The 14703-nt window shown below is 47.6% G+C and overlaps 1 protein-coding gene across 7 annotated transcripts in view, besides 1 other annotated feature; it reads right to left on the bottom strand.

Annotated features, from left to right (window-relative positions):
• Positions 1–14703, bottom strand: part of ENTREP2 (endosomal transmembrane epsin interactor 2) — a 557698-nt gene that overhangs the window by 19181 nt on the left and 523814 nt on the right. For all 7 annotated transcript variants that reach the window (NM_001387217.1, NM_001387215.1, XM_047432323.1 and 4 more), the window contains one exon: positions 142–302. In NM_001387217.1, coding sequence (NP_001374146.1) covers positions 142–302 — 161 coding nt within the window. The remainder of the gene's footprint in view (positions 1–141; positions 303–14703) is intronic.
• Positions 2982–3795: an enhancer, noted in NCBI's record as "H3K4me1 hESC enhancer chr15:29432077-29432890 (GRCh37/hg19 assembly coordinates)". NCBI's record gives its function as "activates a minimal SCP1, AML or CMV promoter by ChIP-STARR-seq in naive H9 embryonic stem cells {active_cell/tissue: H9 hESC(naive)}" and the evidence as "EXISTENCE:reporter gene assay evidence [ECO:0000049][PMID:30033119]".

Genomic DNA, 14703 nt, shown 5'->3' on the forward strand with positions numbered 1-14703 from the left:
CTGTATGTCTAAGACCCTCTCCTTCCACTGCCCCTCCTCTGTTCTCACCGCCATGCCTGCAGGACCACTGCAACTCCCACCACCCGGACACTGCTGCCCATCTTAGTGGTTTCGAGATGGGGGCAGCCGCGGGAGACCAACCTCTGGGCCTCAGTGGACGGTGTGCAGGTGTACTCTGGGGGGTAATAGGGTGGAGGCGGGAGTGGGGGGATGAACTCGTCGAAATCCAGGGTCTGGTGGAGAACGGTGCCGTGAGGAGTCACGCAGGTGGGGTTGGCAGGATGTGACCTCTGCGGAAGGAACTGGAAAACAGAGACAACCACAGAGTTATCTGGGACATCTTGTGTGGCTTGTGTCTCATTAAGCTAATTATACGAGAGCTTTAATGATCAGTTTGGAATGCCTGTAATTTCAACTGTCAAGCCATGACTGCTAAGCACACACTTTAAAATGAAGGCGCCAGGAGGAACGCCTCGTCTCAGAAGTCTCAAAACGCTTTGTTGCCCACGCTGTTATACAGAATGCCTCTTTTTAAAGAAAACATATGGTCTGGGAAGTCTTTCATGCTGTCCCTACCACTCCAACTGGCCCCTCTGATGACAGTACTCAAAGACTGCAGACGGAAGGCTGCCTGACGTGCGTGGTTTAAGACGGCACTTCGGCTGGGTGTGGTGGCTCATGCCTGTAATCCCAGCACTTTGTGAGGCCGAGGCGGGTGGATCACCTGTGATCAGGATTTCGAAACCAGCTTGGTCAACATGGCGAAACCCCGTCTCTACTAAAAATACAAAAAATTAGCTGGGCGTAGTGGTGCATGCCTGTAATCCCAGCTACTTGGGAGGCTGAGGCAGGAGAACTGCTTGAACCCGGGAGGCGGAGGTGGCAGTGAGCCAAGATTGTGCCATTGCACTCCAGCCTAGGCAACAGACTGGAGTGTTTTTGAGACTCTGTCTGAAAAAACAAACAAACAAAGACGGCATTTCTCAAAGTGTGTTCATGAGAAAACACTAGACCCTCCCCTCGAAATGTCCCCACCCCACCCCAGAATTCCCGTGGTCAATCTGTGGGAAATGCCACATGCTCCCTTCTTGGAGTCCTGCATTGTGCATTCGTGTGTTAAAGGCTCTGAGAAGGGCTGTGCTGAAGTACTTATTTAGCTGTTTAACATTTTAACCCAGCATTTCTCAAATATTTCATAATGGGCCCCTTTGGACACGTAGTATCTATTAATATTTTGCAGTCTCAGGATTTCACACAGTTTGTAAAACACTGCTCTGAGGAAAGAGAGACAACTTCATGAGTTCCAGAACATTCTACTGGCCAACCTTGAACACCGAGATGCTGCTTTAATAGTGAGGTGAAATCACTTTAACAAAAATGAAACCTGTTTCTGCCTAGTTTTCCGTTTCTGAAGGACTAACCAACAACCAACTGCTTTTCTTTCCACCTTCACATCTCTGCTGCCCAGAGGTCACCTGTGGCGTGAGATGCCTGGGACATTGCTCCAGCTCCAGTCAATGCCGCCCTATGAGTGTCTACACGGCAAGAAGATCCATGCTGCAAAAGCTCTGGGCCAGGGGCCCTCCTGGCGCAGGGCAGGTGAGGTAAGGAGAGGAAGGGTGAGTGCGTGTGTGTCTGTATGTGTGTGTTGTGTGTGTGTGTGCATGTGCATGTGTATGTGCATGTGCATGTGTCTGTGTATATATGTATGTGTGTGTTTGTATGTATGTGTATGTGCATGTGTATATGTGTATGTGTATGTGCATGTAGATGTGTGTGTCTCTGTGTGTATGTGTATGTGTGTGTATGCGTGTGTGTGTGTGTGTGTGTGTGTTGAGGGGAAGACAGGGACCCAGAATCACCCTACACAAGCAAGGACAGCTCCATTAGAAAACAGTGAGGTCTCCAAGCACTGTGTGGGGACTGCGCTCCCCAAAGCATTCATGAAGAACGCATCTGAACGGGTCTTGAAAGATTGGTGGGATTTCATCTAGTGGGCGCTCAGGGAGACACTCAAGCCCCAGAACAGGTGAGCCAGGGAAGGATGTGTTTAAGAAAAGCAAATAGATAAGGCTCTGGAAGTCAATTCTTAATTCTGGGGCACTGGGGAGCCTGTAAGGGTGTTGGAGCTGGGGAGCAGGGGGACTGGAGCTGCGTGGTAGGAGGTGCCTTCTGGCAGCAGGGGTAGGGTGGGCTGGAGCTGACAGAGGCCAGGACGTGAAGCACTTTTGCACGGGTATGGGTGAGGTGACGATTCTGAATGGGGTCAAGCGCTGTGAAATAAGCATGCTCTAGGTTGACGAAGAAAGGCTGGTGGCCGTGTCTAAAGGTCTAACACATCACAGGAAAATGGCTCCCGTGGGCCTCCTAACACACGGAGCACACTCCTCGCCTCTCTGGCTGGACCGACCCACGGCTGCGTGTGTTTAATTGTCCGAAACAGAGGTGAATCATCCGCTGTGAGCGGGACGCATGTGCGTCTGTGGTCCTCCGCCTTGGAGGCTGTCAGTCCTGATGCCTGCTGCACAGAGCTGAGAAGCAGGGCGAGGGCAAATGCCCTCAGGTCTAATCAGGAAATATTTTCAATTAGTCTCTATCAGAAATTAGAAAAAATATCAATGACATACCCAAGCAAAACTAATGACATGCAGACACCAAAACACTTTCCAATTCAAGGCACCATTCCACCAGGAAGGAGAACAAGCATTTGAGGAGGGGCAGAGGTGCAAGGGACCCTCTCCGCAGGTGCAAGTGAGCAGAGGCTGCCACACACTGGAGGCTATGTAAAGGTCAAAGGACGCGGCTGCATCTGCTCCGGGTCGCCTTTCGGGGACATGTTGGCCCCACCTTCCTGGACCCTTTTCCCAGGAATCCTTTGACCTTGACTCCTCAGCCTCCCCAGCGAGAATCCTGCAAGTGGCGCTTGACGTCTCCCCTCTCTTCCCCACCATCAGTGTGTGTTTAATTAGGTCTGGGTGTGTCTCGCGGCCCAGGGTGGCCAGCTCTGTCCTCTGCTCTGCAGGCTGGGGCTGGAGGTCTGCAGACTACGCTTCCCAGGCTGCCGTGCCTGGGCTGCCGGCAGGCTCTGCCTGTAGGGGGTGCCAGAGGGCACCTGGCCGGCCTGCGGGGCGAGGAGGGAGCTGCGGGTTTCCTGCGCCTTCCCACCTCCTCCCTTCTGTTCCCCGGCTTTGCGGGCTGAGAGCTGCCCTCCGCACTTATTCCACTCTCTGTAAGCTCAGCACCCTCTTCTGTTCCTTCAGCCTTCCACACCCAAGTAACCTGCTCCCCGTAACTGTGTTGAAATCCTAAGGGCAATTTCTTTTCCTGACCATCTGGGGCACATCTATTTTACCCACCTCTGTACCCGTCTCACAATCGCACACAGCGGGTACTCAGTAAACTTCTGCAGAGGAGACGGGCAGACGCCTCCTTGCGGGGCAACTCCACTCAGCCCCTGTCCACCTCCTCCTCGCAGGAGCTTCTAACCTGTGTGCCTCTCTGCCTTGATTTTCTGTCTCTGTAATTTGGTCGCCATCCTGCTACCACAGCTGTTTTTAAATCAATCTGATGAGGTCACTGCAGTTGAAAAGACTTTAATGAGACCCTGGCTCACTGAACTCCATCTGGTTTCCAGCTTCCTAACCCAGCGCCCCCAAACTCCCCGCTCTTTGAACAAACCAGCTCTAATCCCTACTATCAAACACGTATTGTTCCTTCTTCCCAGCTCCCCACCTCCCTTTCACCTGGCGCCTCCCAGTCACCTTCAGGACCAGCGGAAATGCCTGTGACCCTGAAAAGCCAGTGGGCAGCCACCCCTCCCCCATCCCACCCAAGCTCCAGGCTCTGCAGCCTCACCTGCATGTTGACTGCCAGGTATAAAGCTCAACTCTGCACCTGGAGGTGGAGGGCAAAAAAGGGGCTGTGAACAGTCCCTTCTTTCCCAGGTGGCTCTGTTTGCCCTGATCTGTAACTGTCTTCTCTGATCCATGTGGTGACAAAGGTACACCTGTGTCTGGTGCCCAGCTGGGGCTCATGCACCCGATGTGGGCATCACTAGTGCCCAGGGCTGTCCCCGCACAACAGGAGTGAGGATTTGAGACCCCGCTGGAGAAGAGCCCCTGCTCAGTCTGCTCCGGGGAGAGGGGATCCGAACTCAGGTGTGTGCTGTCCACCTTCTCAGGTGGGTGCACGTGGAAGTGATGGAGGATGAGAACTAAGGCTACCTGGCCTTGGGCAGCTTCCCAAAGCCCACTTAACACAGAGCCCCGAACATTTCAGTCTATCCACACAGCCCAGAGTCTGGGATCTGAGGGAGATCGTGAAGAGGTCAACCTGCCTGGGACCGGGAGTCAGACCGCAAGTCAGTTGTCTCTGGGCCCTGCCTGGGCACTGAGGGCCCACAGGATGTGAGCACATTTCTGATCCTGTGAGTCTCAGTCCCCTTCCCTGAGAAGCACCATTGCTCACACAGACCCAGACAGCAGTGCTGTGTGGCTGAAAGGAAGGCTTGGATCATTAGTATGAGCTCATCCAGCCCATGCCTCCATCTCCTGCCATCGGGAACAAGGTGGGGCAGGGCAGGCATCAGGGGTCTGTGGACAAGGGCCGGGGATTTGCAGAAACACCGTGGAGCTCTGAGCTGCCTGTTCCTCCAGGTCCCAGCCGGGTCTGCTCACCTCCCTTTATATTTAGTGGTTTCCTGCCCAGCACCCACTCTCCCTGCTCCCTCTACCAATGTCCTTGCCACATCCTGGCTCCTGAAGGGAGCACACACACCTCTGAATTTTTCCAGAAAGACTCAGAATTACAGGGAAGGGCCTTCTCCCTCTGCCTTCCTTAGACTTGGTAGAAACAGCAGGCTTGTTACTACCGAAGTTTGCTGAATCAACTTCCTCCTGGACAACCCTGCAGATGAGCTGGAGCTCCCGCTCTGCGCTCCAGACCCTGGGGAGAGCCCGCCCTGCGGCCCCCTGGTCCTGCCGCCACCCCCAGGTAGGTTCCATGCCCACCCAGGGCTCCAGGGTGCCTTACTGCACAGGGTGAGGCCTGTGTTCATTATGACTGTAATTGCATAAGGAAATAGGGATGCAGACAGGAAGAGCTGCTCGTTCTGTGAAAACCAAGTTGAATGCTTTGGAAAGACTCAATAAAGGAGGGCAGCCAAGCAGAAACCGCTGCCAAGTCAAGTCCAGGCAAGGCAGGTCTAAGAGCAGAGAAGAATCATAAAAATCTAGGGAAGGTCTGTCTCCCCTGGCTGGCTTCCCCTGGCTGGCTCCACTTTAGAGGAACTGAATCTGAAAATCATTGATGGTGTGATTTCCACAAACTTTCTGCAAGAAATACACCCAGACAGGACAACAGACCCATAACCAAAGGGATGACCACAGCCCCAAATGAGATGACTGGTTGACAGATGCTCATTAGCATATCTGACGTCAAAGAAAAACGATTGTGTGTCCACATCATTTTTATGATTGTCTGCATTAGCTGTTTGGATGAAGTTCCTGGTCTGATAGATAAGTAGCACCTACTGTCCAGAGACAATTCTGTGGAGCCCAGGCCTCAAGGACCTCAAGGTTACTGTGGGTCCCCAGAGTGCCCTCTCCAGCAGGTGCAGCCAGTGCTGGGGTGAGGCGGAGAGAAGACACTGGTGAACTTGGTGATGCTGTGGCTCCCATGGGGTGGTGTCGTGTCCCTGACCAGCCAGCACCGCTTAACCAGCTCCATGGGCAAACCCACAGTTACCACGCGATGGAAGGCACAGTGCCCCCTCTGCACTGTCTAAAGGAGGTCAACTCTGTAGGGCAGACAGCTACCTAAATGACAATAATGAAAGATGAAGTTAATAAGCGCATGCCTAATGGAGATACATGTCATAGTAGATGATATTCCTGAGGCTGCAGCAGCTGGCGAGGAAGTAAGTGAAGAAGAAAACAATGTATCAGAAAAGTGGAAGAATGAGATGACATTTAAAAACAAAAAAAAAATGACATTACAGACACTTAAATGATCAAAAACCTTTTCTGCTAAATGATGTCAATCAACCACATTGTATCATCAGAATGTCTTTTGCCACGATTTCCACACATATTAGAGTAGCTCAGCTTCATCAGTTCTGACAATAGGCAGAACGCTTTGCTTCTCATGGATACAAGCATGCATTATGCTAGTTCCATCGGCAGTTAATGATCCCAAATTGCTGATCCACAGAAATAAGATGGGAGTTTCAGGTTCTTTGGAGACTTGTTCTTGCTATTCCTAGATTCCCACCAGCACTGGACACATAGCAAAGCCCCTGAGATAATTGCTGACTAACTGAATGAATGAATGAGTGAGCAAAGAAGTGAACAGATCAGTAAACACAAAACTGGGACTCTTCCTGAAAAATGGTTACGGCTGGAATTTTGATCAATTGTGTAAGTTGTCAGCACATCAATCACAATAGAAATCACAGCCTGGGTCCTTCCTGCTAACATGGAGGAGCAGGGAGAGGGGCTGGGAAAGTGGGGCTGAGACCCGCACAGTGGAGCAGAGTTGCCAGGCTGCAGGGCTGCCTTGGGGGCAAATTGGGAAGAGGTGCTCCTTCCTGTGGGAGGTCAGGGCATGGCTGTCATCCCCTCAGCCCAGCACCCCTCTGTAGGGCGCAGCACAACAGGGCACCAGAGAAGGGCCGTGGGGGCTGGAGCTGTGGCTCGGGGGGCTTCCCACAGGTTCTTTCTGAGAAAAGAAATTAGTTGATTGGGAAAGGGTGGCCGAAGGGCTTACACACACTTGCCCACAGTGACCTTCCTCCTTAATTATGCTCCCTTTATAAATTAGTGCTTCTCACTTGGAAGGTCTCAGATACAAATAAACACCAGAAATGAAGAGTTAGTACAACCAAAGCCACAACTGAATGCAAGAAATGAAAACCCGCTCAGAACAAAGAGGCCGACATACAGGAAGGTAAAGAACACAGAAACAGCAGTGAGCAGTAAAGCTTCTATAAAATTAAATCTAAAGGGGTCATGAAGATGTGAAGGGATGCTGTGATTTAAGGGCTAAGGAGGAGTGACATAGAAAAGACATCCCAAAGAGCTTACACTCTAACACATTTCGCCTGGAACTAAATGACTTTAAACCACCGCAGGAAAACCCAGAAGCTGGCCATGGTGTGGGAGGAGGAGGGAAGTGACGCACTCCAAAGAAATGACAGGGTAAGAAGAAAGTCATGCTGAGGAAAGCACAAAACACCAAGACACACAGATGCCAAGAGACGCCTTCTTCTCTGGGACTAGTGGTTGCCTGGTTAATGAATAAGAAAGTTATTTAAAGTGGGGAGTTTCACACACACATACACATGCAAACATAATACATACATACTGAACCCATTTTACTTTAACTTAAATCCTGTATATGTGGAGAAATTCATAGAAAGACACAAACTACCAAAACAGACTTGAGAAGAATAGAAAATGTGACAAGAGATTGAATTAGTAATAATACAACTACCCGCAAGGAAAAGTGCAGGCTCAGATGGCTTCACTGGTGAACTCTATCAAATATTTAAAGAAGGGCCGCGCATGGTAGCTCATGCCTATCATCCAAGCACTTGGGGAGCCCAAGGAGAGAGGGTCACTTGAGCCTACGAGTTCGAGACCAGCCTGGGCATCATAGAGGGAACCTGTCTCTACAAAAAAATTAAAAAATTAGCTGGGCATGGTGACGTGTGCCTGTAGTCTCAGCTACTTGGGAGGCTGAAGTGGGAGGATTGCTTGAGCCCAGGAGGTAGAGGCTGCAGTGAACCATGATCGCACCTCTGCACTCCAGCTGGGGGGACAGAGTGAGACCTTGTCTCAGGAAAAAACAAACAAAAAAAAACATTTAGCCGGGTGTGGTGGCTCACACCTGTTATCCCAGCACTCTGGGAGGCTGAGGCGGCTGGACCACCTGAGGTCAGGAGTCCAAGACAAGCCTGCCCAACATGGTGAAACCCCATCTCTACTAAAAATAAAAAAAATAAAAAAATAAAAAATTAGCCGGATGTGGTGGCATACATCTGTAATCCCAGCTACTAAGGAGGCTGAGGCAGGAGAATCACTTGAACGTGGGAGGTGGAGGATGCAGTCAGCTGAGATCAAGCCACTGCACTCCAGTTTGGGTGACAGAGAGACTCCATCTCAAAAAAAATTTAATGAATAATTAATACAAATTCTTCATAACAATCTTCCAACAAACGGAAGAGGAAGAAACACTTCCAAACTCTTCTATTAATATGAAAAGGATTACTTATCATAACCAAGTGGGATTTATCTCGCAAATGCAAGGTTGGCTTAACATCAGAAAAATCAATCTGTGTAATTCAACATATTAATAGAACAGAGGACAAAAACCCTATGGTCATCTCAATAGATGCAGAAAAAGCATTTGACAAAATCCAACTTTCTTTTTGATAAAAAAGACCCAACAGGCTGGACACGGTGGCTCATGCCTGTAATCCCAGCACTTTGGGAGGCCGAGGTGGGCAGATCACGAGGTCAGGAGATTGAGACCATCCTGGCTAACACGGTGAAACCCCGTCTCTACTAAAAATACAAAAAAATTAGCCAGGTGTGGTGGCGGGCGCCTGTAGTCCCAACTATTCAGGAGGCTAAGGCAGGAGAATGGCGTGAACCCGGGAGGCAGAGCTTGCAGTGAGCCGAGATTATACCACTGCACTCCAGCCTGGGCGACAGAGCGAGACTCCATCTCAAAAAAAAAAAAAAAAAAAAAAACAACCAACAAACTAGGAATAGAAGGGAACTTCCTGAATCTGATCAACAGCATCTATGAAAAACCCACAGCTAACATACTACTTAATGGTGACAGACTGGATGCTTCCCCTAGATACAAGCTAAGAAAGTCCACTCTCACTGCTTCTATTCAACATCGTAGTGGAGGTTCCAGCCAGGGCAATCAGGAAAGAAGACAAGATGAAAGACATCCAGAGTGAAGTAAACTGATTTCTATTTGCAGGTGACATGATTTTGCATATAGAAAGAATCCAGAGAAAAGCCCAACAACAATAAAGCTCAAAATGAGTTCAGCATGGTTTCAGGATATGAGATCAATATAAAAAATCATTTGTATTTCTATATATTAGCAATGAATGATCTGAAAATTTAATTAAGATAGTAATTCCATTTATGATAGCATCAAGAAGAATAAGATACTCAGGAATAAATTTAACAAAAAAGCAAAACTTGCACACTGAAAACCGTGAATATAACTGAAAGAAATTAAAGAACATCTAAATGAATGGAAGGGTACCTCATGTCCATAGGTTGGAGGACTTACTATTGTTAAGATGACAATATTCCTGAAACTGATCCACAGATTAACCACAATCCTCATCAAAATCCCGGGTGGATTGTTTGCAGAAGTTGACAAACTCAACCTAAAGTTCATATGAAATCAAAGGGCACAGAATATCCAAAACAATGTTCAAAAACTACAGAACTGGAGGGCTCACACGTCCACACGTCAAAACTTACTATGAGGCTACAGCAATCGAAACCATGTGGCACTGGCATCAGGACAGACATAGGTCAATGGAATAGAATTGAGAGTCCAGAAATAAACACGTATATCTATGGTCAATTGAGTCTGACTAATGTTACCAAGACCATTCAACGGGGAAAGATTCATTTTTTCAACAAATGGTGTTGGAAACAGAACAAAGCTGGACCCCTACCTCACACAGTGTATAACAATGAACTCAAAATGGTCTAAACACCTATGTGCAGGCCGGGTGTGGTGGCTCACGCCTGTAATCCCAGCACTTTGGGAGGCTAAGGCAGGCTGATCACAAGGTCAGGAGTTTGAGACCAGCCTGGCCAACGTGGTGAAACCCCGTCTCTACTAAAAATACAAAAATTACCTGGGGTGGTGGCACACGCTTGTAATCTCTGCTACTCGGGAGGCTGAGGCAGGAGAATTGCTTGAACCTGGGAGGCAGAGGTTGTGGTGAGCCGAGATCACACCACTGCACTCCAGCCTGGGTGACAGAGCAAGACTCCATCTTGGGGAAAAAAAAAAACCAAAAAACCCTAAGTGTAAGAGCTAACAGTAACACTATAAAGCTCTTAGGCATTGCTTTCTTAGATGTGACACCAGAAGCACAAACAACTAAAGAAAAAAGCAGAGAAACTGAACTTCATCCAAATTGAAACTTTTGTGCATCAAGTGAAAAGATAACCCACAGGGTGGGAGAGAAATTTACAAATTATATATCTGATAAGGGGGTTGTGCCTGAAATACAGAAATAACTTTTACAACTCAGTAATAAAAAGACAAATAACCCAATTTTAAAAATAGGCAAAAGGTCTGAAAAACATTTCTGTAGGGAAAATATACAAATAGCCACAAGTGCATGAAAGTATGTTCACCATCATTAATTATCAGGGAAATGCAAATCCAAACCACAATGAAATACCACTTCACCACCACTACGATGGTTATAATTAAAAGAAAGATCATAAGTGTTGGCGTGGATGTGAAGAAACTGGAACCAAAATGAAATACCACTTCACCACCATGATGGTTATAATTAAAAGAAAGATCATAAGTGTTGGCGTGGATGTGAAGAAACTGGAACCAAAATGAAATACCACTTCACCACCATGATGGTTATAATTAAAAGAAAGATCATAAGTGTTGGCGTGGATGTGAAGAAACTGGAACCACAATGAAATACCACTTCACCACCACTAAGATGGTTACAATTAAAAGAAAGATCATAAATGTTGGAGTGGATGTGAAGAAACTGGAACCCTCATGGTCTCACGGTGGGAATGTAAAATGGCACAGCTGCTTTGGAAAACAATCTTGCAGTTCCTCAAAAACAGAATCATCCTTATGACCCAGCAATTCCCCTCCAAGGTATATACTCAAGATAAATTAAAACATATGTTGACACAAAAACTTGTACAAGGATGTTCATAACAGCATTATTAATAACAGCCAAGAAGGCAAACAGCCCATATGAACATCAACTGATGAATAAGCAAAATGTAGTATACTGATACAACAGGATATACTGTTGAGCCGTAAAAAAGAATGAAATGTTGGTACATGTAGAAACATGAATGAACCTTGAAAACATCATGCTAAATGAAAGAAGCCAGACACAAACGGCCACATGTTGTATCATTCAATTTATATGGAACATGCAGAACAGGCAAATCCATGGATACAGAAAGTAGATTAGTGGTTTCCTAGGGCTGAGAGGTGGGAAGGAAATAGGGTGACTGCTAAAGGCTATAGGGTCTCTCTTGGGGATAATAAAAATGTTCTAAAATGGATTGTGGTGAAGGTTGTACAACTCTGTGAAGATATTAAAACCGCTGAATTTTAAATGGAGGAATTGTATGATAGGTGAATTGTATCTCAAGACAGCTGTTACCCGATCCCCCATCTCACAGATCCCTGGTAAAAGAAAAAAACCATTTATAAAGTGTCCCTCTGAATCCACAAGGAATTGCTTCCAGAACCTCCTCTGCCACTGGATACTAAAATCGGTGGAGGGTGAAGTCTTTTACATAAAATAATGTTGTATGTGGACATAACCTACACACATCCTCCTGTATACTTTGAATCATCTCTAGAATACTTCTAACACCTAATACAATATAAATGCTATGGAAATAGTTGTTATACTGTATTGTTTTTTATTTATATTTTTGTTGTTGTTTTGTTATTTTTATTGTGTTTTTTCCTTGAATAGTGTCGATCCACGGTTGGCTCAGTGGGGGCTGACTGTACATACATGGACTGACCTTTTTCTGCCTGAGTAAAGCCTTTTCTGAGAGTCAGTCTGCTGTGTGGAGTGCCTCGTGGTCTTTCCTGCATAAGCTGCATCCATAAGACATGAATCTAACAACCCTTTTCTGTGTTTTTAAAGTGGGGCTAGAGCTGAAAGGCACTTGTCAAGCAATGTGTATGTGGACTCCCTCCAGATTTTTTTTTAATTTTTTTTTTTTTTTAAGTCTCAATCTCGCTCTGTCGCCCAGGCTGTAGTGCAATGGCACAGTCTTGGCTCACTGCAACCTCCGCCTCCCAGGTTCAAGCCAATTTCCTGCCTCAGCCTCCCGAGTAGCTGGGATTATCGGCATGTGCCACCATGCCCGGCTAATTTTTGTATTTTTAGTAGAGACGGGGTTTCACCATGTTGACCAGGGTGGTCTTGAACTCCTGACCTCAGGTGATCTGCCGGCCTCCCAAAGTGCTGGGATTACAAGCGTGAGCCACCAGGCCCGGCTCCTCTAGATTTTTATCAGCATTTATCGCAACCGCCATAGTTGTCTCACTTGCATCTAATGGACAGCAATACATTCAGCAGCACCCCCTTTCACCGAACCTTTCCAAAGAACTCGACTGTGCTGTACCAGAAACAATTATCTTTCTGCACTCATATTTCATGGCTTTACATAGTACTAGAATATGTAATTACAACAAATATCACTGGCATAAACTAGTTAGGAATAGCTACAACTGTCCCTTGGAAAGCTCATGGCCCAGCTTCCTGGAGCAGAAATGGCGCAGGGGTGAACTGCGGAAGCTACTGGTAGGGAATGGTTCGCACAGCCAGCCTGGCTCAAGCCTCGGCCCACATGGCAAGAGCCGACCTCCATGTGGCCACCACGTTCCTTCAAATCCCATTCCCACAGATGAGCGGACTCATCCCATCAGCAGCTCTGTGAGGACAGCAGGGCACACGCTTCATCTTTAGAGCCGAGGAAACGGGGTCCCACAGGCAGTGATGTGCCCAAGATTGTGCCAGTCCCATAGGGCGCCATGGCCACCCTCTGAATCCACAGGGAAGTGTGGATTCACCCACCACCAGCTCTCTTTTGCCTCGCCCATGACTCTCAAGCCCGGCAGCAGAGCCGGGGGTCTCATCACGAGAGCAGAGCCTTGGGCTCCCGCGGTACCCGTCACAGACCGGAAAGGATGTGCTGGCAGGAAGCCGGATATTTCTGCTTCCAAGCCAGGGTGTGAGGCAAACTCACCCACAAAGTACTCAGCGAGGAAACAACAGGGCTTCTGACGGCAGCCGCTGTCGCCGCAGCCTGCCTTTCCCTTGCACAGTATTTTCTGCTGGTAAAGAGCCTCAGCCCACCGCGTCTGCAGACATTGCTGCGACGTCCCAGTGACAGACTGATATTCCCTACACATTTCAAATCCAACACATCACACGTATTAGGGATCTCCAGGCATCCCATTCATTCCACTTCACAGGTGAGGAAACTGAGGCACAGGTAGGTTCAGTGACACACCCAGAGTCACCTGCCTCGAATGCAGAAGAGGTGGGACTCAGACCCTGGAGCGCCTGGCTTGAGAAGCACGGCTCCACGCCTGCTCATGCCCCACCCATCACAACTACAGAGCGACTCTGCACACTGCTGTTATACTCGTATATGCTCTTATAAAGAGAATTTACTTTATTCTTATTTAGTTGGCAATTTTCATTTTAAAGCATAAAACCAGGAGAATGCAAACTTTTAGCATTTACATGCCTTTAGTTCTGTAAGTTTGGTCAAATGGATGTGATATTTACAGATCAATAGTAAAATCTGCTGAGGTGAGGAGAAGCCCCTGGTACTTAACCTTTCCTTTACAGAACACGTTGGAGAAAATTGCCAACATGAGGCCCCGATGAACAAGGGCAGAAGTTCAAGGCTACCTTAGAACTGCTTAATTAGATACCTTTCAGAAAGGGCAGCCTGGCTGTGACAGCTGTGTGGATATACACCGGGAGGGAGAGACTCCCATGGCATGCAATTAGGACCAAAGAATTTTTAACGTCTTGGTAATGATGCTCTCTGGCCCTGTATCTTGATTAACTGGATGTTGACTGCCACAGGGTGAATGACAAAGAAGAGCACATTAAAAAAACCCACTATAAGAACCAGCTGCCTTTTCTTGCATAAGATGCATAAATCATTGCGTGGGAAGCAGCGTAGGTCTCAAAGGGGCAAATTGAGAGACAGAGAGACAGAAAGAGACCGAGGCAGAAAGACACACACAGAGACAGAGAGAGACAGACACACACTCATACACACACACACGCGTGCGCATAGATATTCCTACCCTTACCATGGAAGAACAATATTTTTTCATCAATTTCTCTTTGTTGTACTCAGTAGCATTCTGATCAGTAGGCTGTGTTCCATTCACATTGAAACAGGAAGAGCGTTCATTATTTATGAGATGTGTATTTATAAATGTGTATTAATAACCCACATATTATAACATGTGTTAGTGAACCATGCTCCGGGCCTCCTCGCTGCCCCTGGGAGTGACAGGTCTTCTTGTGTATGACCCTGGGCAAAGGGTCAAATGATGGCCAGTGACTGGCCTCTGGAGTATGAGCTCAGGGTTCATTAGCAAATCAAAAATGCACAGGTTAGCAATTTTCCAACTGGAAAAGAACTGATCTTCTAACACCTCTAAACTTCCCGGATTAAAAGAGAATTCTGAAGCCCGAGGAAGGCACCTTGCTTTGGAGGTGCTGGGTCCAGGGGATGTCCAGGGCTGCAGGAATTTCACTACATGACTCAAGGGCACATGCCAGGGGCCATCCTAGAGAACACGACAGTGGCAGAACCCTGTCAATATGGAGCTCCAACAACACCTAAAATAAATACATCAGCGGCGCCACGTGTGCAGATGCTTGGTCTTCCA

This window comes from Homo sapiens, chromosome 15, assembly GCF_000001405.40.
Source record: "Homo sapiens chromosome 15, GRCh38.p14 Primary Assembly".
In the NCBI taxonomy this organism is placed as follows: domain Eukaryota; kingdom Metazoa; phylum Chordata; class Mammalia; order Primates; family Hominidae; genus Homo; species Homo sapiens.